The sequence below is a fragment of the Homo sapiens genome, chromosome 4, assembly GCF_000001405.40.
Source record: "Homo sapiens chromosome 4, GRCh38.p14 Primary Assembly".
Classification (NCBI taxonomy): Eukaryota; Metazoa; Chordata; class Mammalia; order Primates; family Hominidae; genus Homo; species Homo sapiens.
In genome coordinates this window covers 121,381,589-121,407,713 of record NC_000004.12, presented here as the reverse complement: position 1 = coordinate 121,407,713, position 26,125 = coordinate 121,381,589, and the positions used below count along the sequence as shown (strand labels likewise).

Below are 26,125 nucleotides of genomic sequence, written 5' to 3'. Positions count from 1 at the left end.
CCTCTTCAACATAGTACTGGAAGTCCTAGCCAGAGTAATTAGACATGAGAAAGAAATAAAGTTCATCCAAATTGGTAAAGAGGAAGTCAAACTTGCTCTTTGCTGAGGATATGATCATTTACCTCAAAAACCCTAAAGACTCCTCCAGAAACCTCCTAGAATTGATGGAAGAATTTAGCAAAGTTTCTGGATAGAAGATTAATGTACACAAATCAGTACCTCTTCAGTACACCAGCAGCAACCAAGCAGAGAATCAAATAAAAAACTCAACCATTTTTACAAGAGCTGCAAAAACAAAAATAAAATACTTAGGAACATATCTAAACAATGAGGCAAAAGACCTCTACAAGGAAAACTACAAAACACTGCAGAAAGAAACCATAGATGACACAAACAAATGGAAACACATCCCATGCTCATGGATGGGTAGAATCAATATTGTGAAAATGACCACACTGCCAAAAGCAGTCTATGAATTCAATACAATAACCATCAAAATACTACCATCATTCTTTGCAGAATGAGAAAAAACAATTCTAAAATGCATATGGAACCAAAAAAGGGCCCAAATATCCAAAGCAAGACTAGGCAAAAAGAATAAACCTGGAGGCATCACACTACCTGTTTTGAAACTATACGATAAGACCATAGTCACCAAAACAGCATGGTACTGGTATAAAAATAGGCACATAGAGGCCAGGTGTGGCGGCTCATGCCTGTAATCCCAGCACTTTGGGAGTTTGAGGCCGGTGGATCATCTGAAGTCAGGAGTTTGAGACCAGCATGATCAATATTGTGAAACCCTGTCTCTACTAAAATTACAAATATTAGCTGGGTGTGGTGGTGTGTGGCTGTAGTCCCAGCTATTCAGGAGGCTGAGGCAGGAGAATTGCTTGAACCCGGGAGGTGGAGTTTGCAGTGAGCCGAGATCTCACCACTGCACTCCAGCCTGGGCAACACAGTGAGACTCTGTCTCAAAAAAAAAAAAATAGGCACATAGACCATTGGAATAGAATAGAGAAACCAGAAATAAAAGCAAATACTTACAGTCAACTGATCTTTGACAAAGCAGACAAAAACATAAATTGGGGAAACGACATCCTTTTCAACAAATGGTGCTGGGATAATTGGCTAGCCACATGTAGGGGAATGAAACTGGATCCTCATCTCTCACCTTGTACAAAAATCTACTCAAGATACATCAAGAACTTAAATCCAAGACCTGAAACTATAAAAATTCTAGAATATAACACTGGAAAACCTCTTCTAGATATTGGCTTAGGCAAGGATTTCATGAGCAAGAACCCAAAGCAAATTCAATAAAAACAAAGATAAATAGCTAGGACTAAATTAAACTAAAGAGCTTTTGCAAGGCAATAGGAATAGTCAGCAGAGTAAATAGACAACCCACAGAGTGAGAGAAAATCTTCGCAATGTATACATTTGACAAAAACTAATATCCAGAATCTACAACAAACTCAAACAAATCAGTAAGAAAAAAAATCCCATGAAAAAGTGGGCTAAGGACATGAATAGACAGTTCTCAAAAGAAGATATACAAATGGCCAACAAGCATATGAAAAAATGATCAACATCACTAATGATCAGGGATATGCAAATCAAAACCACAATGTGATACCACCTTACTCCTGCAAGAATGGCCATCATCAAAACACAGTAGATGTTGGCATGGATGCAGTGATCAGGGAACTCTTCTACATTGCTGGTGGGAAAATAAACTAGTATATCCACTATGGAAAACAATGTGGAGATTCCTTAAAGAACTAAAAGTAGAACTACCATTTGATCCAGCAATTCCACTATTGGGTATCTACCCAGAGGAAAAGAAGTCATTATACGGAAAGGATACTTGCACACACATGTTTGTAGCAGCACAATTCGCAATTGCAAAGTTGTGGAACCAACCCAGAGGCCCATCAATCAACAAGTGGATATAGAAACTGTTATATATATATTATATATATATATATATATATATATAATATATATATATATATAATATATATATATATACACACACACATAATGGAATACTACTCAGCCATTAAAAAAATGAATTAATGGCATTTGCAGCGACCTGGATGAAATTGGAGACTATTATTCTAAGTGAAGTAACTCAGGAACGAAAAAAGCCAAACATCGTATATTCTCACTGGTATGTGGGAGCTAAGCTATGAGGACACAAAGGCATAGGAATGATACAATGGACTTTGGGGACTTTGGGAGAAGGGTGGGAGGGGGGCGAGGGATAAAAGACTACAAATAGGGTGCAGTGTATACTGCTCGGGTGATGGATGCACCAAAACCTCACAAATCACCGCTAAAGAACTTACTTATGTAACCACATACCACCTGTACCCCAATAACCTATGGAAAAACAAAATTTTTTAAAAGACAAAAAAAGAAAAGTAATAAAATAAAGTAAGACATATAGCATATGGGGAAAGAGGATTCTGTTCATATTATATAATATATAATTTGAGTTCCTAAAAAGAGAAAAAATAAAATTAGAAAGAATATTGTATTTAAAACTATACTTGAAATCTTTTCTAACACACACATATACACTCACAGACACACACCATTACATTTACATGCTGAAAGTACCCTTGTATCCACTAAATACCTGATAATGATCCAGAAGTTCATTTCTGATTCATATCATAGTAAAACAATGGGGTCTCAAAGACAAATAATTATCTGGCTTCCAAGCAAATAGATGAAGTCTTTTAGAAAGGAAGGAAAAGTAAGTTACTGTAAGAATGCTTTTCAACAGCAACATACTAAAGGAGGCAAAAGGTTTGTATTAAAGCTGTTATTTGTCCCCTCCAAACCTCATGTTGAAATTTGATCCCCGATGTTGAAGGTGAGACCTTAAAGGCAGGTGTTTGGGTCATGGGAATGAATTTCTCATGAATAGATTAATGCCCTTCCTCAGGAATAATTTCCCACTCTATTAGCTTTTGAGAGAGCTGAATGTAAAAAAGAGGGTGATACCTCCCTCCTCCTTGTCTTGCTTCCTCTCACCATGTGATCTCTGCATGTGCTGGCTCCCTTGCACCTTCCACCATGACTGGAAGCAGCCTGAGGCCCTCCCTAGATGCAAATGTACAGTCTTGCACTTTTTCAGACATCAGAATTGTGAGCCCTATGAACCTTTTTATCTTTATAAATTACCTAGTCTCCAGTATTCCTTTATAGCAACACTGAGCAGACTAAGACAAAGGCCATAGAAAAATATGCAAGAACTCAAGGATATATTTCATCTATATGTTCTTTGTAAGGAATCAACTAGAAGATGAACGTCATCATAGCGGATCAGGAAACCTACAGAAAACTACTAATGAGAACTTAGATTAAAACAAATGTGGAATAAAAGCTTATCAATATATGCTTTAAAAACTAAAAAATGAAAGGAGAAGGGAAAGAGAAGGAGAAGACAAAATTAGCTCATGGATGGTGCACAAATAATAGACAGTAGTTAAAGGATATTTTTTAAAGCTAATAAATGTAATAATAAAAGCCTAAGTAAAGAAAAAGGAAGGCTACAGAATTATTTAAAAGTATTAGTCTAAAAGTCATTAGTACAAAACTATGCACATTTAAACCAAAATATTTAAAATAGAATAAACAAAACAAACTAATGAAAGACACATGGGAAATACAACATAAGATAACTGAAAAAATAGAGATTAAAAATATTGGTCATATTTATAAATGCAAATGGATTCAATTTACCTATTAAAATAAATAAGATCAGCTTAAAAGCAAAACAATTCTATGCCACATACAGACAATACACTGAAAATGAAATTATTCAGAAACTCTAAAAGTAAATGGGTAGAAAGTGTACTGTTCAAGTGCAAATGAGAGTAGAGTTTAAGTTTATAGTCTTGAAATCTAACTAGGCAGAAGTCAGCCAAATCATTAATAAAGAAAAAGGAGGATCTTTATAATGTTAAAGCTGCCATTTACAATGGAGATATAAAGTTATACATATCTATGCACTATTTAATGCAGACACAATCTATATAAAGCAGAAACTTTGAAAAGGAATAGACAGAAAAACTCTAAAAGGTAGAGACTGTACCATACTACTCTTGGTCCAAAGACAGGTCAAATGGACAATACTAGGTAAGGATATAGAAGATCTAACAAATAATGAACAAAGGAGGTCCTATAAGTGTGTGTGTGTGTGTGTGTGTGTGTGTGTGTGTGTGTGTATACACACAAAAAAATGTATATATATATAATTTTGAACAATAAGAGAATAAAGCCTTCTTTTTCTAGTGCACATGAGCTACTTAAAAACTCTACCATGTGTTAGGTCCAAAAGGCAACCTTGATAAGTTCCTGTTGTAGGCAGAATGACCCCCAAAAGCTGTCTATGCCATGATTCCCTAGATCCTGTGAATATATTACACGGCAAAAGGCACTTTGCAGATGTAAGTAAGGTTGTAAACCTTAAAATAGGGAGATTATTTGGAATTATCTGGGTGTGCCCAATCTAATCACATGAACACTTAAAAGCAGAGAACTTTCTCCAGGTAAAGTTAAGGAGATGAGGCAGAAGTTGAATTCAGAGAGATTCAGATCCTAAGAGAGGCTTGCCTTGTTATTGCTGGAAGAAGCCACATTGAAAGAAAGCATGAGGAGGAAATATGGGCAGCCTCCAGGAGCAAAGACTGGCTTTTAGCCTCTAGCCACCAATGACATGGGGACCTCAGTCATATAACCACATGGAACTGAATTCTGTCCCCAACATAAATGAGCTTGGAACCAGATTCTCCCCCAGAACATCAGCCCAGGCCAGCTGATGTCTTCATTTCAGGCTAGTGAGACCTCAAGCAGAGAACTCACCAAGCTCATCTTAACTTACGACCTACAGAACTGTAATAAAATTAATTTGTCTTATTTTAAGATGTTAACTTTGTGTTAATTTGTTATGGCAGCAATAGGAAAATAATAAAATTCCAAAAAGCAGAAGTTATAAACAACAATGTGTGATCACAAAGTGCAATAAGATTAGGTTGGTGCAAAAATAATTGTGGTTTTTGTCATTGAAAATAATGGCAAATCCTCAGTTACTTTTGCACCAACCTATTATTAATAAAAACAAAAAAAATTTGGGGTCAAAAGGCAAATACATCCCAAACTACAGAATTTCTAAAACAAAGTTAAAATAAAAATTTGACATATCTGAATCCTTAAAGCACTAAAAAGAAAATCTAAAGCCTCCAATAGTTATGTCAATAAAACCAAGAGTAAAACATTTAACTCATAAAAGTAAAAAAGAATATCAAAATAAACCAAACACATGCAACAATTTATAATAAATCTTGTTCTCTGAAAAAATTACAATGGAAATTAATCATTAGTTTTCTTAATCAAGTAAAAATGAAAAAAAAAAAACATAAATACACAAAGAAATGAAAGGGGGAAATAACCATCGAAAAAAATCTCTAATTTCCTAAGAAACAATTTGCACAACTCTTAGTGAATACATTTGACAACCTAAGAAAGTGGGAAATTTCCTAGAAAAATATAATGTATCCAAAATTGACCCCTCTAGAGGCAGAAAGTTCAAAAGGCCAATTTTCATAGAAAATTAGAAAGTAGATAAAATTATGAAAGAGCTACTGTATTAGTCTGTTCTCACAGTGCTAATAAAGACATACCCAAGACTGGGTAATTTATAAAGGAAAGAGGTTTAATGGACTCACAGTTCCACATGGCTGGGAAGGTCTCACAATCATGGCAGAAGGCAAATGAGAAGCAAAGGCACATCTTACATGGCAACAGGCAAGAGAGCATGTGCAGGTGAACTTCCATTTATAAAACTATCAGATCTTGTGAGACTTACTCACTACCACTAGAACAGTATGGGGAAAACTGCCATCATGATTCAATTATCTCCACCTGGCCCTGCCCTTGACATGTGGAGATTATTACCATTCAAGATGAGAGTTGGGGTGGGGACACAGCCAAACCATATCAGCAACTCTCCACCCCTACAAAAAGCAACAGGCCCATATGGTTTTATGGAAGAATTAAACTAAATCTTTAAAGACCACATAGCTCAAATGTGAATCAAACTTTTCAAATAAAATAAAAGGAAATGTCCAAATTATTTTTATAAGAAAAGTTTAACTTTGACACTTAACCCTTATAAAACCTTTTCCTCAAATATTAGTGAAAACTCCTAAAATAGAAGGCTGGCAAACAGAATCCACTAGAACATTAAACAATCATGAACCAAGTAGGTTGTCTTTCATTCTGCAATAATTTTTCAATATTATGAAATCTATTAATAAAATCAATTATATAATTACATCAAAGGAAAAAGTTTTAAGATACTGAAATGATATTAAACCAAATTTAATACTTATTTCTGACACATTAGTGAACTAAGAGTCAATGGATAATGCCAGATTCTCATTTAATGTGGGAAAATCAGAAGCATTCCTGCTAAAGCCAGGAACAAGACACTGTCTCCCTACCTTAATTTTTTTATTTTTTTATGATTGGATGTGAACATGCTTAGAATGTATTTGTTTAAATTTTCTAGTTAAAAGTGTTTAGTGGGCAGGAATCTTAGCCTCCAGCCTTAGGAAAAAGTCATAAACACATTTTAGAATATCTATTTATTTGTTCATAAAATATACATCGTTCCCAAGATATAGTACGTGCTATGTTACCTATTAGGAATAAAATGGTAAATTAGATACAACCTAATCCTAGATGGCACAGCCTTTCTGCCTTCATATAAATATTAGAGGCCTACATTTTCCTAGGTCAGAAGTTCTCAGGCTTAGACACACATTAGAATCACCTGGGGAGCGCTTAACACCACTGCTCAGGGCCCACCTGCAGACATTCTGAGTTAATTAAAAAGTGATTCAAGTGGTGCTAATATGCAGCCACAGCCTGAATGCTTGTGTTGAGAAAAAGGAATGGGTGAGCTGGGATAGAAGCTGGTCAGTGATCTTAAAAGTGGATGGCTCGCCCTAGCAGATACCAAATCATAAAGCCTCTATAATTAAAATCATGGATATAGACACATGAAAAGACAGACAGACATCAGAGTAAAGGGCAAGGCCAAGAAGTAGACCCAGGTACCTATGAAGTAGACCCAGGTACAAAGCAATTTAAACACAATAAAGTATTGCATAAGAAACTGTGGTAGACATATATAGAAGCATACAATGTCAGTGAATCCTGAAGATGGATACAATGTTTGATGATTGTGTACTTAATAAAGGTGAGCTTTTTAATTAGTGAGTTTGGGACAAGTGGTAGCTTTTGAGAAAAAGAAAAAGTTACACTATGATTAAATCTCAAATTGATCAGAAATCTAAACATTAAAAATGAAATCATACAAGTATCAGAACAACACATGGGTAAATTCATTTCTTGAAAATGAAGACAGTCTTTCTAATATGACTCAAAATTGTAAACATATAAAGAAAATGTAATAAAGTATTTTAATCAAGCTCCATATACATGGCTTCAAAACAGTTTACCAATTTGCCTTAAAATACATTTTCAATGTGAGCCATGTTTTTTCCTTTTCTCCTGCTCTTTTTTTTCCTGCAAACTGCAATACATGGCTTTTGTTAGACTATCTCTATATTTAGAAATAAGTTAAAAATCAACTGATTAGGGCATTTTTAGGTAAGCAATAACAGATAGTCATTCTATACTGAAATGTTTTATTTTTGCAAAGAATCATTGTGCTTTATAATTACTATGAAACTTCAATTCAAATGAATACAATCCTTAAGGAAAGCATGATTACGAAAAGGCTTTTATTCTTTTACTTCAATCTTCAAATTAACATTTAACATATATTTTAGAATTAAAGTTTAACACAAATGTCACACCTCTCACTGAGAAGCGATACCTTTAATGAGTAGGCATGAAAATGTAGAAAATGCCTGACTCCCTCTTTACAGGGCAGATATGAAGATGAAAACAATAGTGCATATGAAAGCAACTTAAACATTATATAAAGTATTGGATAAGGTACTGTGGTAGATATACATAGAACCTAGAAATGTCAATAAATGCTGATGACTGTGTTCCAAAATACCTTCAGAGAATCCAGACATGTTTTATAACTTAAACTGATAGATATATATTTTAATAAAAATATATTTATGTCTATAAAGCCAAGAAGCTAATAATGCCATTTTCTCAGTGTAATTATAAATACATTTTACATGGCAAGGCATGGTGGCTTACACCTATAATCCCAGCACTTTGGGAGGCCGAGGCAGGTGGATCACGAGGTCAGGAGTTCGAGACCAGCCTGGCCAACATGGTGAAACCCCATCTCTACTAGAAATACAAAAAATTAGCCGGGCATGGTGGCGCATGCCTCTAATCCCAGCTACTTGGGAGGCTGAGGCAGGAGAATTGCTTGAACCTGGGAGGCAGAGGTTGCAGTGAGCGGAGATCGCACCACTGCACTCCAGCCTGGGTGACAGTGTGAAACTCTGTCTCAAAAAATAAAAATAAAAATAAAAATAAAAATAAATAAATACTTACATTTTATAATATTAGCTGCTTTGTAAAACTAAGCAAAATATTAAGCTAATAATGCCATATTTTTCATTATAAATACTTACATTTGATAATATTAGCTACTTTGTAAAATTAAGCAAAATATAAAATTAGGATAAAAACATACTATTGTGCAAATATTTTCCACTGTATTATTTCAGTCCACACAAATTAGCATTCTCTAAGGAATAATGGGAACTTGCTAACTTAAAGTGATGACGGTTTGTTTAGGATTTAGAAGCAGGGCAATGAGCATTATACAAAAAGTGATGTGTTGCATGTTCCCGTTGTCCTTCCAGTGGTGTAGGAGCTCAATAATTAACCTCAGACAGTGGATAATGACATAAAAGGGAAATTTGGCACCTAGAAAATAAAGCTTATTGGGGTGGGCTAGGCATTATAAATAGTACAATCTCCAATAGGCCTGATTTCATAAGCTTTGGGTCCCATTCTGGATAAACAGTAGACTGATTGGAACTGGCATCTTCAAAGCCACCAAAGCATTCATTCACAGCTCAAACTGGAGAATTTACTCCCTGGTTTTTTTTTAATGAAACAAGGTAAATTTTGAGCTGCTTTCTTAATATAACCTCCATTTTCTAAGTGATTATTTTAACACAAAACTACCCTGTTAAGTCTAGCTGGAAAGAGAAGAGCAAAGGGAGAGAAAGCAGATCCACTATGGAATGGCAGGGCTCCAGGTCACCTGCTCTTCTGGAAAGGTCCCCAGAAATTCTGGCATCTGTGTTGACTCAGATTCTTGTTAACACTTGTATTGTACACATTAAAAAGGAGGAAACCTTTAAAACACTAGTAGGAGGGGTCAGTTGCTTATGTCACCCAGAATACATGGTGCTGTCATGCCTGCCCTTCCTCCTTCTCCAGGCAGGTATAGCTGGAGGAGCTGCTTAGAGCCATTCTCCTGCTGGAAGATCTGTCATTTTCTCAGATGTGCTATCAACAGTGTCTTGCCACTAAACCTGCTGAGATAGTCACTGGCCCATGAGAGACAAAGCTTGTCACCAGTTAACCAGAGCACTTTGGTTGCAAGATGTGACCAGGTGGTTCCATGAACACTTAGGTCCTAACCCCCAGATTCAGGGAAATTTGAGCTTCTTCTGAGTGATATAGAAATACAGGCCCGCTAAGACTGTGGGACTTTAGCCAGTGTTTCTTTCTCTTGGTGGACACTGGCCAACATCCATCATCGAAAGAGCCATCTCTGCCCTGAGCTTGCCAACCACAGAAAACTCTGAGAAGAATAGGCTTCTACAATCTCATGGCTAATCTGTGGGTCTTTTCCCAGACGGTAAAAGATCTAAACATTAAACACAAATTCAAAAAAGCAAACTAACAAACCAATCATGAAGCCAAACAAATGCAAACACTGGATATAGTTTCAGGATGAATGGATGAATCCCATGTGCTATTTGGTATGCAGGGAATCTAAGGGAATGTATTTATAGTCTATTTCCTGATACGGGAGAGTAATAGCAAATGACATCCACAGGTTCTTAAATTGCATCACTGTCATCCTGGATGTCCCCTGAGTTGAGTGGCTGTTATAACACATTGAAGGGGTGGCCTGTCCCTCCACACCTGTGGGTATATCTAGTCAGGTGGGACGAGAGACTGAGAAAAGAAATAAGACACAGAGACAAAGTATAGAGAAAGAACAGTGGGCCCAGAGGACCGGCACTCAGCATATGGAGGACCTGCACTGGCACCGGCCTCTGAGTTCCCTCAGTTTTTACTGATTATTATTTTCATTATTTCAGCAAAAAGGAATGTAGTAGGAAAGCAGGGTGATAATAAGGAGAAGGTCAGCAAAAAAACATGTGAGCAAAAGAATCTATGTCATAATTAAGTTCAAGGGAAGGTACTATGGCTGGACGTGCACGTAAGCCAGATTTATGTTTCTCTCCACCCAAACATCTTAGTGGAGTAAAGAATAACAAAGCAGCATTGCTGTAAACATGTCTCACCTCCCACCATAGGGTGGTTTTTCTCCTATTTCAGAATTGAACAAATGTACAATCGGGTTTTATACCGAGACATTCAGTTCCCAGGGGCAGGCGGAGACAGTGGCCTTCCTCTATCTCAACTGCAAGAGGCTTTCCTCTTCTACTAATACACCTCAGCACAGACCCTTTATGGGTGTAAGGCTGGGGGATGATCAGGTCTTTCTCATCCCACGAGGCCATATTTCAGACTATCACATGGGGATAAACCTTGGACAATACCCCGCTTTCAAGGGCAGAGGTCCCTGCAGGTTTCCGCAGTGCATTGTGCCCCTGGTTTATTGAGACTAGAGAATGGCGATGACTTTTACCAAGTATACTGCTTGTAAACATTTTGTTAACAAGGCACGTCCTGCACAGCCCTAGATCCCTTAAACCTTGATTTTATAAAACACATGTTTTTGTGAGCTCCAGGTTGGGGCAAAGTTACAAACTGACAACATCTCAGCAAAGCAATTGTTTAAAGTACAGGTCTTTTTCAAAATGGAGTCTCTTATGTCTTTCCTTTCTACATAGACACAGTAACATCTTATCTCTCTTTCTTTTCCCTACACACAACTCTCACTCAGAAATAATTCTGGCAATATGTTTTCGTGCAAGAAGCAAGGCTTATTTCCTCTACTTCTGAATGCCAGATTTGGGACTTTAATTATCAAATGGGTGTCCCTGTTCAGATGTCTATACATAATAAAGTCAGAAGGGAGTTTTTAATTTGAGACTTTGTGAAAATTTACTTAAGAAGCATTTCTATAGCTTCTTAAGTAAATTTAAGGAATTTAAATATAGAAGGGATTCTTCTAGATTATTTACAAGTATGAGTTTACTTAATCTTCATAACACCTTTTTGAGAGAAAGCTTTTTTTTTTAATTTAATGCTTTATTAGTACGTGGTAGCATTTTTTGGTGCGCATACATATTCATAGTTCTAAAGCTATCCTTGTGGCTTTTTTTATTATTATACTTTAAGTTCTAGGGTACATGTGCACAATGTGCAGGTTTGTTACATATGTATACATGTGCCATGTTGGTTTGCTGCACCCATTAACTCGTCACTTACGTTAGGTATTTCTCCTAATGCTATTCCTCCCCCAGCCCCCCACCCCATGACAGGTCCCAGTGTGTGATGTTCCCCACCCTGTGTCTAAGTGTTCTCATTGTTCAATTCCCTCCTATGAGTGAGAACATGTGGTGTTTGGTTTTCTGTCCTTGCGACAGTTTGCTTAGAATGATGGTTTCCAGCCTTATCCATGTCCCTGCAAAGGACGTGAACTCATCCTTTTTTATGGCTGCACAGTATTCCATGGTGTATATGTGCCACATTTTCTTAATCCAGTCTATCATTGATGGACATTTGGGTTGGTTCCAAGTCTTTGCTATTGTGAATATTGCGGCACTATTCATGAGAGAAAGTATTTTTATGGTCTCACTTTACAGATGAAGAAACTGCATCCAAGTTTCCCCAGTGAGAGGATGACAGAGCCAGGATGCAAACCCTGGGCATCTGAGTCAGTTGTACCAAGACACCTCTGACATGGATTTACTGCATCTCACTCTAAATATAATCTTTGATGGTAATTACATACATTTAATCATGCACATGATTTTCTCAGATGTGCTATCAACAGTGTCTTAACACTAAACCTGCTGAGATGGTCACTGGCCCATGAGAGACAAAGCTTGTCACCAGTAAACCAGAGCACTTTGGTAGCAAGATGTCACCGGATGGTTCCATGAACCCTTAGGTCCTAACCCCAAGATCCAAGTGAATTTGGGCTTCTTCTGAGTGATGTAGAAATACAGGCCCATACAGAAGATAATTCAGTGGGTGTAAATCATATCTACCTCCTTGACATTAAAGAACTGGTGATAGCCTTTAGCCAGTGTGGCTAAAATCTCTTCCCTGTCCAATGCATTGGTTACTTCTCAACTCAGAGTTTCTAATATAGATTATAAAAAATGTCTCTGCCTTTCCCTGTTGTTTCAAATTTGGTCTTCAAGCATCATGCGATAAATTTCTTCAGAAAAGATTGCTTCCTTCCAAAACACTGCACGAAATTCTGGCTGCCTGCCTTGCTCACTAATGTCAGGAACTCTGCACACCTGACCCTCAAATCTGAACACCTTGGGTCTGCCTGCTATTTCGTGGCTGTGGTCTTTCTGCAATCATCAGATTGTTCCGTGCTAATAGGCAAAACACTCCCTTTGGCGGAAGAACTATTTGCTATTCAGACTGAATTGGAAACGGATTTTCCATTCTATGGCACTGGCATTTTCTGGAAAATGGAGCATTAGTAACTGCGTTTGTAGCAGTACCTCAGAAGTGGCCCTGAGGGAGAATGTCTGTTTAAACTAGTGGTGTGCAGGCTACACTATCATGGAAATATAAGTAATTATGTGTTACCCTCATCCTAAACCAACTCAGGGGAGTAATACAGACCTAATATGTTTAAGAAGTGCATAAGCACATGCACCATTCTAAGGAGAGCAGCCTTTTCCCCCCCTGTGGCTCTCTTGACAAAGCATCTGCTCCATCAATCTCTTGCTCCATCTATTCAGCAATTATTTATTGGTTTGCACCATTTTTATGATCCTTCTCATAGTATAAGAATCCATAGAGCAAGCATTATGAATTTAACACTATCACCTCCCAAATTCAGGCCACAAAGCTGATTCTCTGCATTGGTTATACATCTGTAGTCTGATTAGCTGCCATTAGTAGATAGATTAGACTCATTGATTATTTTGTTATAAAAATTATCCGTTTAATTCAACAAAACTATTACTTAAAGCAAAGGAGTCGTTATTTATTATACATTAGGGGCTCTCAAACTTAATTACCCATTAGAGTCATCTGGGGAGCTGTTACCATCTCTGATGCCCATGCTACATTCAAACTTGTTACATCGCTATCTCACAGGTTGAGATTCAGATATCGTACTTGTTATAGTTCCCCCTGACAATTCCAACATGGAGCTGAATTTGGGAACTACTGATTTACAGGGAGATTTTTTAAATGATCCCATTATTATAACAGGACATAATAGGGAGTATTTGTTTTATTGTTCTACATTGGCTCTATTACTATGTCTTCTTTTATCTGCAATATCTGCATTTTATCAGCATTTTATGAATATAACCTCATTTAATCCTCACTATGACCCTATTGTTTTGTCCATGTTATAGTTGATGAAAATAAGGGGCAAAAATTAACTTGTCTAAAATTACCCATATTATAAGTGACAGGGTCATGATTTTTGCTGTCAGTATGGCTGTGAACCCCTATGCTATTCTGACTCCTTTTAAATTTTCATATTGTTAAATAGAGTAGCTGTAGTAGCAGCAGCAGCAGGCATTCACAGAGCACTTACTATGAATGAGCCACACTTCTAAGTGCTTTACATAGAGGACAATATGAAACTTCCTAAATAAATACCAACTCTTATTAATAACTGCTTAATTTGCTTCTATATTCTGTTTTTCTGCTCTCAGAATAAAGCTCTTTTCCTCTCACCTGCGGCTGCACTGCCATGGAATTGGAGATTGCTCCCCAGTGTTTCTTCCCTGTGTTGCTGGCATTCCTTCCTCATGCTCACTGCCTTCCCAACATTCCTCATTTACCCCCCTCAGCTTTCTTGACACCCAATTTCCACAAAGACCCAAACTGCTCATGGGCCCACAAGACCCAGGAAAGAGAGCTTGCCTTCTTCTGGTGTGTGGTAGGAGGAAGAGAGGGTTCTCCTAGCCACATGCCCTGAGAAGGGCGACCTCAGATTGCTCCCTACTTCTTGGAATCTATCGCCACTCTGCTTTGTCATGACCAGCTGGGTTCCCTGACAGGCAACCCTTTTGAGGTCCTGCAGCTGGACCCACTTAATTGCTGCTGGTGTCAGTGGAGCCAAGTGTGGGACCAGGGACCACTCCTGAACCACAAGAGACACTTAGTATAAAGTGAGTGTATACATGCTCATTGATCACAGTCTGACTTTTAGCCCACTCTTGAATAGACTGTTGACTTATTTCTGTGGCCACACTCTATGTCTTAGTTTTAATAATTGTGTCTCTGTTTTTTTCTTCACTCCCACCTTCATGTACATGCCTCTGAACAGGCCCTGACCTAATGGCCTTGTCCTATTCCCTTAAGCCCCGCTAGGGTCTGTTGTCCAAGCCCCTAATTCCAGCCCCTAGCCTGGACTGGCCACCTACCACAGATCTCCTTGACACTCAGTGCCTAGTCTTGCCCTACGTCTATGGCCAGGTGCTTGGATTCCATTTGCCAGTCTCTGACGGAGTTTTTCACGTCATTACTTACTGTTGAGACTTGTCCTGTGACCTTCTCTATTCTGGAGTTCTGGTGTATTTCTGGTTATGGCTCTTTTCTAACATGACCTGTCCCAAGTGCCATTTGAGCCTGAGGTTTGGCAGCCTTTTCTCCACTGGTTCTGGTGTTTGTGATAAGTTATTTATATCCACATGGGAGTTTGTTTATTGCTGAGCTATGTCATAGGCTTCTAGCAGTTTTCCCCACCAGTCTCAGGATGGCTGGCACATACTGCTCCTTTATTAAAGGGGCCAGGTTCTTTTTAGTGAAAACATTTAAAAATTATATTCAAACACGACAAATCTGTAAGCAGGTACACAATATTCTTTAGATCATCAATGGGCATCATCCCTTCCTACACACCCCACTTCCCTCATCCATCTCCATGATCGGTGACAGCCTCCAGCCCAGTCCCATCCTTCCCTGTACCCCTGTGCACCCCTCCTCATAGCACTCACCTGTCAAGTTCAATACCCATTCAGGAAACATTCTGCAGGCTGTGGCTGCATATTAGTGCCACCTGGATCACTTTTTAATTAAACTAGAATACCTGCAGGTGGGGCCTCAGCATTGGTGGTGTCAAGAGCTCCCCAAGTGATTCTAATGTGTCCCCAAGCCTGAGAACTTCTGACTCAGGAAAATTAGGCCTCAGTCTTTTATATGAAGTTGAAAAGGCTCTGCCACCCAGGATTAAGTTGCATCTAATTTATCATTTTATTCTTAATATACAATATAGCATGTGGCATATCTTGGGAACAATGTGTATTTGATGAATAAGTAAATAGATATCCTAAAATGTGTTTATGACTTTTCCCTGAGGATGGAAGCTAGGATTTCTGTCCCCTAAACCTAATTGGCTAAAAGTTATAAACAAATACATTCCAAGCATGTCCATATCCAATTATAAAAATTTTAAATTTTGACATTCTTGGCACTGCTACTTTTGAAAACTTGCAAAATTTTCTCCACTTATATATATCTTTATTACAGGAAAAATAGAAAACACTTATAACCAAAACAAAGAAACTAAAAAATATCTGTACTTATACCATCTAGAAATAAACTGATGTTAATCCTTTACTGTCTCTTCATTTAATATGCATATGTATTCTTGAATACATTACATTGAATCATCATCTTATTCACTCAGCAATATATCATATGAAATCTTAACCCCACGTAGCTTGTAGACAAGTCAGATAACCATTAGGGAGGTGAAAATTTAAATTCAAAAATCCTATAAAAGGACTATGATATGGTTTGGCTGTGTCCCCACCCAAATCTCATCTTGAATTCCCATGTGTTGTGGGAGGAACCCAGTGGGAGGTAACTGAATTATGGGAGCAGGCCTTTCCTGTGCTTTTCTCGCGATAGTGAATAAGTCTCACGAGACCTGATGGTTATAAAAAGGGGAGTTTCCCTGCACAAGCTCTCTTCTCTTGTCTGCCGCCATGTGAGATGTGCCTTTCACCTTCTGCCATGATTGTGAGGCCTCCCCAGCTATGTGGAACTGTAAGCCAATAAACCTCTTTCTTTTGTAAATTGCCCAGTCTCAGGTATGTCTTTATCAGCAGCATGAAAAGGGACTAATACAGATTCTAAGAAGACCTTTCTAAAATTCAGCTACATTATCTCTTTTGTGCTTCATTAGTGATTGAATCCTTAAATAATATTTGTGTTTGAAAGAACAAATATTAAGGCCTGGGAAATAAAGTTATTCCCCAGTAGAGAATAGGGAGGGTGCAAAAATAAGAATTTTAATGAAAATGAAAACACTACCTAGGAGTTTTGAGTGTTAAAATCATAACATTCTTTTAAACTTAAGATTGCCTTTTGTTTTTGGCAAAAGAAATCATAATAGCTAATTTTCATCAACAACAGGTATACCATTGTTCTGTTAGTCCAGCTATACTTAAAAAAATGTAGCTACTTTGGCAAAATTCTTATAAAAAAACTTGTCTTGATAATCTCCCTCCCTTTATTAAGTCATTCTAGAAGTCTAGTAGAGCTGGCCTCAAATTCACTGTTTAAAATCCCCACTTTCCTTCTTGAGGAAATTGAGAGTTTACCCATGTTTAGTCTTCACTGTTTTTCTTGGACATCTGATTTCCAAAAGATTTTTGGTGATGATTATTCAAACACGTTGGTTAAATTCTCTTCATGCTTTACTTACACAGTCTGTTGCTGATCTCCATGCAGAATTGTTGGGATTCACTTGAACAGTGAAACAACACAGCTGAGCCCCTTAGCTTTCATAATGAATTCACTCACTGGCAGACACGTCATGTACAGAGCACATGGATCTCTTTTTAATCAACAATAGTGATTACCCCATTTATCTCAATTTAGAGCCATTTGCCATATGGCTCCTGTCCAAAGTCTGGCTAGTAGTTTATGAAATATGAAGGGTTATCATTTGCTAAGTTTCCTCTGCTCAGGTCAGATCACTAGAAAGCAAGATACTGTACCTGCATTATCTTATTCTGGCTCTTTGTAGAAATCACTTTATAAACTATGACTTGAATTATGCCTTCAGCTTGCATCAAGTTTGCTATTAGGAATGGCTATTAGCAATTATACTTTGCTTGTCATCAAGTTTACAGAAAGCCCATGGTTATTAAAGACACCATCCAATATGTATTTCAGTGTTTCTTATATGAAGACTATTGTGGTAAATTTTTCTCAGAGGTCAAAATCCGAAGAAAGTTGTTCCCTTTTGACAGTGTGCTTCCTTTTTTTTTAGGTTATGAGGATTTCAACTCTCCCTTATACGTCTCTTTTGGCCCTGACTCCATAGCTGTCAGAAGCTGACAGCTAAGTCTTCTAATCCGTTAGTTTAGTGTCCCATAATCTAGGTTTGCTGATACAATTATCTGCCTAGCTTTTATCATTACCAACCTCATGTCTCCTTCTCCCTCTCCTTCTTTTTGTTCTGTCCTCATGGTTTATACTTTCCTCACTGGTAGTAAAGACAGTATAGGGTTGAGAGTATGACTGCCTGGAATTTTGAGAAACAAACTACCAGTTTTTAGCTGTGTGACCTTGAGCAAGTTTCATTATATTATCTATGCCTCACTTTTTCATCTGTACAAAGAGGCTAATAAAAGCACCTAACTCATATGATTGTTATGAAAATTAAATGAAACAATGCAGACCAAGTATTGTTTAAAAGATATTATTTTTGCATTTTTCCTTTTAAAAATTGTGGTAAAATGCACATAACATAAACAGGTTATACTGTACATTTACCATCTTAACCATTTAAGTACTGTACATTGTTGTGCAGCCAATCTCCAAAACCCTTTTCATCTTGCAAAATCAAAACTTTATACCCCTTAAACAACAACTCTCCATTCCACTCTCTTCCCAGGCTTTAGGAACCACCATTCCCTATGATTTTGACCAAACTAGATACCTCATATAAGTGGAACTTAGAGTATTTGTCCTTCTGTGACTGGCTTATTTCACTTAGCATAATGCCCTCAAGGTTCATCCGTATTATAGCATATGTCAAACTCTCCTTCCTTTTAAAGGCTGAATATTATTTCATGGTATGTGTATACCACATTTTGTTTATCCGTTATCTGTCAATAGACACTTGGGTTGCTTCCACCTTTTGCCTGTTGTGAATAATGTAGCCATAAACATGGGTGTAAAAATGTCTCATCTAGACGCTGTTTTCAATTACTCTGAGTACCCAGAAGTAGAATCGCTGAATCGTATGATAATTCTATTTCTATTTTATTGAGGAACCACCATACTATTTTCTATAATGGTGCTATCAATTTACATTCCAACCAGCAGTGTTCAGTGGTTCCCTTTTCTTCACACCCTTGCCAACACTTGCTATCTTTTGTCTTTTTGACAATACCCATCTTAACAGGTATGAGGTGACATCTCATTCTGGTTTTGATTTGCATTTCCTTAATAATGAATAATGGCCTCTTTTTGCATGCTTGTTGCCCACTTGTATATATTTTTTGGAGAAATGTCTATTCAAGTCCTTTGCCTATCTTTTAAGGGGATTGTTGTTGCCGTTGTTAAATTGTAGGAGTTATTTTTATATTCTGTATATTAACGCCTTATTAGATATGTGATTTGCAAAATTTTTTCCATTCCATAGATTTCCTTTTCACTCTGTTGCTTGTGTTCTTTGAGGCATAGAAGTTTTAAATTTGGATGTGATCCAGATTATCTATTTTTACTTTTGCTGCCTGTACTTTTAGTGTCATATCCAAGAAAGTATTGTCATATCCAATGTCATGACGGTTTTCCACTGTTTTCTTTCAAGAGTCTTATAGTTTTAGCTCTTATGTTTATGTCTTTGATTAATTTTGAGTTAATTTTTGTATGTGTAGGGTAAAGGTTCAAATTCATTATTTTGCATACTAATACCCAGTTTTCCCAGCACCATTTGTTGAAAGACTGTCCTTTCCCCATTAAGTGGTCTTGGTACCCTTGCCAGAAATCATTTGGCCATGTATGTGAGAGTTTATTTCTGGGCTCTCCATTTGATTCTATTGATCTATCTGTCTATCTTTATGGCAGCACCATACTGTTTGATTATTATAGATCCGTTATAAGTTTTAAAACTGGGAAATGTGAGATCTCCAATGTTAATTCTTTTTCGAGATTGTTTTGGATATCTTTTCACCCAAGCAAAGAAAAAAAATTGTTTTGGTCATTCAGGGTCCCTTGAGATTCCATACAAATTTTAGCATAGGTTATTCTATTTCTGCAAAAAATATAATTGGGATTTTGATAGGGATTATATGAAATGTGTACATTACTTTGGGTAGTATTGACATCTTAGCAACATTATGTTTTCCAATCTATGAACACTGAATGTCTTCCCATTTATTTGTGTATTTTTAAATTTCTTTCAGCAACATTTTGTAGTTTCCAGTGTACAAGCTTTTTTCCTCTTTGGTAAAGTATATTCCTAAGTATTTTATTGTTTCTGATACTATTGCAAATGAAATTGTTTTCTTAATTTCCTTTTCATGTTGTTCTTGTCAGTGTATAGAAATGCAACTTATTTTTGTGTGTTGATTTTGTATCCTGTAACTTTGCTAGAATTGCTTACGAGTCATAGCAGTTTTTTGTGCAATCTTTAGGTGCAATTATTTTTTAAACATAAGTTACCTCCAGTCTTTTATTATGGTAATTAACATGGATAAAAATACCCAATATATACAATTACATAATCTCTCTCATTCTCTCTCTTTTGCTGAAAGCACTTTTCACAAAAAATCAATTTATTCTGGGCTTCCTGAAATTACTCTTTTTAGATATTTTTGTATCTGTTCGTATACATAAATAAACATATATATATACATGTATACACACACACACATCCCTCATATAATTTATAAAATTCCTGCTCTGTAGCAGAGTCCAGAATATTGATTCCATGCAAACTTGTAGCATACTGTGGCTACTACCCCTGCTTTTTAAAATTTCTCATTGAGATACTCTGCTACTATGGTGTCAGAAATTTTAAAGCTCCTCAGTCCTCTTTATTCAGCTTACATTTTAGAAACTATAGCCAAGAGATCATACAATCTTTTCTAAATATCATTAACTTGGTTTCTTGAAGCTTAGAATCCCTATCTGACAATATGTAGTATGTTCTACCTCATCTCCCTCAGAGTTGGCAGCTTCTCAAGCTTCTGTCACTTCCACCTTAGTATCAACTCTTTCCTCATTGGGCAGAATTAAGAACAGAAAACCAAGTCTCCCAGAAACTTTTTCCTTCTGAAAGACAAAATTCTCAGGAAAGTGAGGAAAACACCACATGCTATGCCTTTAGACTACTTATACCTTTAGCAAACATCTAGTGAACTCCCCATCTCTGACAATTTGGTAATCTTTTCTAAGGAAGGTTTGATTATTGCAACATTTCACTGACAAGATAAAGTGCAGACAGTCTCATAAAATTACTAGTTGCCTCTCCTTTTGTATTTATCCAGATACTTTCTTCCATGTTCCTATCTTTGAGGGTAGAAAGCTCTTTGGCGATTCTTCTTCACCCTGTTAGCTTGTTTATTTTGGAAAATGGACCCTCTGTCACTGTTGTTTTCTAATCATGAGAATTGCCAATAAGCATCAGAAGCCAATCCTGCCTTTCTGGCTCGCTTTATCCCTCTCTCTAACATAATCATTCCTACTTCTGTGCCTTTGGAGAGGCTACTCACTCTGTGACCTTTCTCTTTTTCAATTTATCCTTCCTTTTAGCCTTGATTTACACTCCACATTCCCCACACAGCATGTATGGATTTGCCTTTGCTTGAATTTCCAGAACATGTTCTTTCTGTGTGTGGATGTGGCACTTGTCACCTTATTTTGAGCTATGAATATTTCTGTCCCTCTTGCCCCTCTAACAAGATGGGGCTGGCAAACTGCTTCTGCAAAGGGTCACAGAGTAAATATTTTCTGCTTTGAAAACCATACAGTCTCTATCACAAATATGCAACTGTGCCATAGTAGTGTGAAAGCAGCCAAGGATGATATGTAGATGAATGGGCATGATATGTTCCAGTAAAATGTTTTTATTTTTACAGGCACTGAAAGTTGAATTTCATACAATTTTATGTGCCATGAAATATATTCTCTTTATGCTTTTTAAAAATGATTTGAAAATGTGAAAACTATTCCTTGCCCATGAGCTATACAAAAACAGATAGTGAACCATGTTTGGCCCAGGCTGTAGTTTGTTGACCCTGAACTGATAATGAGCTCCCCAAAGGCTGAGCTGTGTTGCATGCCCTTGTGGGAGTTACCCCTTAAGACTGGGTCTGTTTCTTCACCATACTACTCTTAATGATGAACACAGTGCCTGGCATGCAGCAGACATCCAAAAACGTTATTGAATAGAGGCATAAATATTCATGTACTTATCTAGTTTTCAAACAATAAGCAGGTATTTCAGGAAATGGTCATGAAGAGTTTCTAGGGGGAGAAGGAAAGGTCAGGAGTACTGGCAGTGTCTTGTGAGATTAGCCTTGGGCTACCTTAGTAGGGGTATTTTCACCAGGTAGCGAACTGGGTGAGTGAGATGTGAGTGGTTGAGATAAAGTGGGTTGGGAGGTTGAAGAGATGAGGGTTGAAGAGGTGTAGAGAAGTCGTGAAAACGAAGACTAGTGCAATATCAATAGAGGGAGGAAGACCCAAAAGAGTTTAAAACTTTAGAGGCTAATGTCACTTTTTTGTACACTTAGCTCCAATCAAACTCTAACTTCAATCATGCATTATTTCAAAGAATAATTCTCATAATCTGGATTCATAGGCTTTTCAAATATCCTAGGGAGCCACTATGAGAGTTGATCTTTGCTTTTCACACTTCCCTGTTCCCCTATACTCCTTTACTTGTTTTGAAGAGTGCTGAGTAGAACCGGGAAAGATGAGCACTATTGCTGTCTGCAATAATGTATGTCCACATAAAGCACAAGGAATTAAATATAGTCATACCAGACCTGCTCTGGCCTTAAGAAAGCCCTGAGATTTCTTCTCTGGGTCACATGGGGCTGGAATCAGCCTGCAGCTATGCTGCTGACCTTCTTTGATCCCAACACTGTGGACCAGGGAGAGGCAGGGCATGTCTTCCATCTATGTGGTTCCTATGTAATTCGAGAGCCATCCTCTATGACCCAAACTTTCAGCCCCTAGTCCAGAGAATTGGACTCATTTGTGAACCATTGCTCCTACAATGGGTTATGATTGGACATCTTCCCTTAGGTTTCCTTCAACAGTTACAATATGAACACATCCTTTTCAAATGCCCTTGGAGCATATACCAAAATATATAATATCCTTAGCAATAAAACAAACCTCAACAAATTTAAAAGAATGCAATTATACAGAGAATGCTCTTTGACCAAAAGGGAGTCAAACTAGAAAACAGAAAAATAGCAGAAAAATGTTCAAACACTTGGAAACTAAATAAGACATTTCTAAATAATCCGTGGGTCAAAAAAGACATTTAAAAGGAAATTAAAGAGTACATTGAACTGAATGAAAATGTAAATATAACACATAAAACATGTGGGACACAGTTAAGCCAGTGCTGAGAGGGAAATTTATGGCACTAAATGCTTACATTAGGAAAGAGAAAAAGTTCCAAGTCAATAATTAAAGTTTCCACCTCAAGAAACTAGAAAAAGAGTAGCAAAATAAACTGAAAGCAGGTAGAAGGAAGAAAATAATAAGGATAAGAGCAGATGTCAATAAAATTCAAGAGAAAATAATAGAGAAAATAATAGAGAAGTTGTTAGCTAAGAATTGTTTCTTTGTAACTAGCAATAAAATAGCCAAACCTCTAACTAGATTGACAAAAGAGAGAGAGAAGGCAAAAATTATAAAATCAGGAATGAGACAGGGGATACTCTTCAGCCATACAAAGGATATTAAGAGAATACTATTAACAACTCTACACACATAAATTCAAAAGAAATTTATCAATTCTTAAAAAAACTCACCCAATATGGAATAGATAATTTGAATATCACTATACTATTAACAAAATTAAATCCATCATTTAGGAACACCTGTAAAGGAACTCTTCATGCCCACATGGCTTCATTAGAGAATACTACCAAACATTTAAAGAAGAATTAATACCATTTCTACCAAACATTTAAAGAAGAATTAATACCATTTCTACACAGTCTTTTCCAGAAAATAGAAAAGGAGAGAATGCTTCTCAATTCATTCTATGATGCTATTATTACCTGACTGCCAAAACCAGGATAAAAAATACAAAAAGAAAAAAAAGTTACAGACCAATAGCCCTCATGAAGATATACATAAAATTCTTTAAAATCCTAACTAATAGAATTTAACAATATATATAAAGAATTACACACCACGACTAAGATGGGGTTTATTTCAAATATTCAAAGCTGATTCAATATTCAAAAGTCAATCAATGCAATTCACCATTTTAACAGGCTGAAGAAAAAAATCACATTGATAGTATTAATTGATGCAGAAAAATCATTTAACAAAATTTAACACCATTGATAGAATCTCTCAAGAAGTTGAGAATAGACAGTAACCTTCTCAAGTTGATAAAGAACATCTGCAACTAACATCATACTTAATGGTGAAAGAAGGCTGAATACATCCTTATAAGATTGAGGACAAGACAAGGATGATCTCCATTCTCCATTGCCATTTAACATAGTAAACTGTGTACTCCAACCATTGCAGTTAGGCAAAAAATAAAAAAAAAAAAAAACAAAAGAAAACAAAAACAACAACCAAACAAACAACAGCTAAAACCAGAAATAAAGAGCATACAAATCAGAAAGGAAGAAATAAAACTGTCTTTCTTCTCAGATAATGTGATTGTCTATGCAAGAAATCTACCAAAAAACCCTCTGTATTAGTCCATTTTCACACTGCTGATAAAGACATACCCAAGACTGGGCAATTTACAAAAGAAAGAGGTTTACTGGATTTACAGTCCCACATGGCTGGGAAGACCTCACAATCAAGGTGGAAGGCAAGGAGGAATAGGTCACATCTTACATAGATGGCAGCAGGCAAAGAGAGAACTTGTGCAGAGAAACTGCTGTTTTTAAAACCATCAGATCTCATGAGACCCATTCACTATCATGAGAACATCGTGGAAAGACCCACCCCCATGATTCAATCATCTCCCACTGGTCCCTCCCACAACACATGGGAATTATGGGAGCTACAAGATGAGATTTGGGTGGGGACACAGAGCCAAATCATATCAACCTCCTAATAAAATTAAGTGAATTCATCAACATTGGAGGAATCAAGATCAACATACGAAATAAATTGGATTTCTGCATACTAGTAATGAACACATGGAACCAAAAATTAGAAATTCAGTACAGTACCGTGTACAAATGTCCGCCCAAAATGAAATACTTAGGTGCAAATCTAAAAATATGTACAGGACTTACATGCTGAAAACTGTAAAATGCCTTTGAAATAAATCAAAGATGTAAATTTATGGAAAGACATTCTTCTCATGGATTGAAAAACTCAACCTAGTAAATATGTCAATTTCTATCAAAATCCCAGCAAGGTTTTTTGTAGACATAGACAAGTTGATTGTAAAATGTATATGAATAGGCACAGGTCCTAGAATAGTTACAATAATTTTGAAAAATAAGAATGAAGTATGAGAAATCATGCTACCTGATTTCAAAACTTATTATATAGCTACAGTAGTCAAGAATGTGGAGGATAGACACATAGATCAATTCAACAGAATAGAGAGCCCAAAACATAAAATGTAAAACTATAACACTTTTAGAAAAATACCTAAGAGAAAGTTTTTGAGAAATAGGCTTTGGTGAAGTTAGACTGAACACTAAAAGCTATCTATAAAAGAAAATATTGATAAATATGACTTCACTAAAACTAAAAGCTGTTCTGTGAAAGTCCCTGTTAAGAAGATAAATAACAAGCTACAGACTGGAAGAACATATTTGCAAACCGTTTACTAACAAAGGACTTGTATGTAGAATATAAAAAGAACTTTCAACAGCAAATAAACTAAACCATGCAATTAGAAACGGACAAAACACATGGAAAGACATTTCACCAAAGAAGATTCAAGGACGGCAAATAAGCACATGAGATGTTCAATATTACTTGCCATTAGGTAAATGTAAATTAAGGCCCTAAAGAGATATCACTACAGATCTATTAGAATAGCTTAAAAAAAAAAAGCAGCAAAACCAAATGCTGGCAAGGATGTGGAGAAACGTAACTTCTCATGCATTGATGGTAGAGATGGAGACTTGTACAGCCACTCTGAAAAGTAGTCAATCTCTTTAAAAATTAAATATACACATTACAGATTCAATAATCAAAACTTTTGGCATTTCCTATAGAAAGGAAAACTATGTTCACACAAAAACCTGTACATGATTCTTTATAGCAGCTTTATTTTTAATAGCTCAAAATGGTAATCAACCAAAATGTTCTACAAGAGGTGGATGGTTAAATAAACGGTGATACAGCCTCAGCAATAAAAAGAAACAGCCATTAATACATGCAACAACTTGGATGGATTTAAAGGGCATTAGGCTGAGCGAAGAAAATTCAATATCAAAAGGCAGCATATTGTATGATTTCCCTTACGTAATGTTCTGACAAAAGTTAAGAGAGAACATATTAGTGGTTGCCAGGAGTTAGAGATGGTGGAGGGAGGGGC

At 36.7% G+C, this 26,125-nt stretch overlaps 1 long non-coding RNA gene across 1 annotated transcript in view; it reads right to left on the bottom strand.

Annotated features, from left to right (window-relative positions):
- The window catches only part of LOC107986309 (uncharacterized), a 123,175-nt gene extending 107,898 nt beyond the window's left edge, over nt 1–15,277 (bottom strand). The window contains exon 1 of the long non-coding RNA XR_001741806.2: nt 14,917–15,277. This is a non-coding gene — a long non-coding RNA (uncharacterized LOC107986309). The remainder of the gene's footprint in view (nt 1–14,916) is intronic.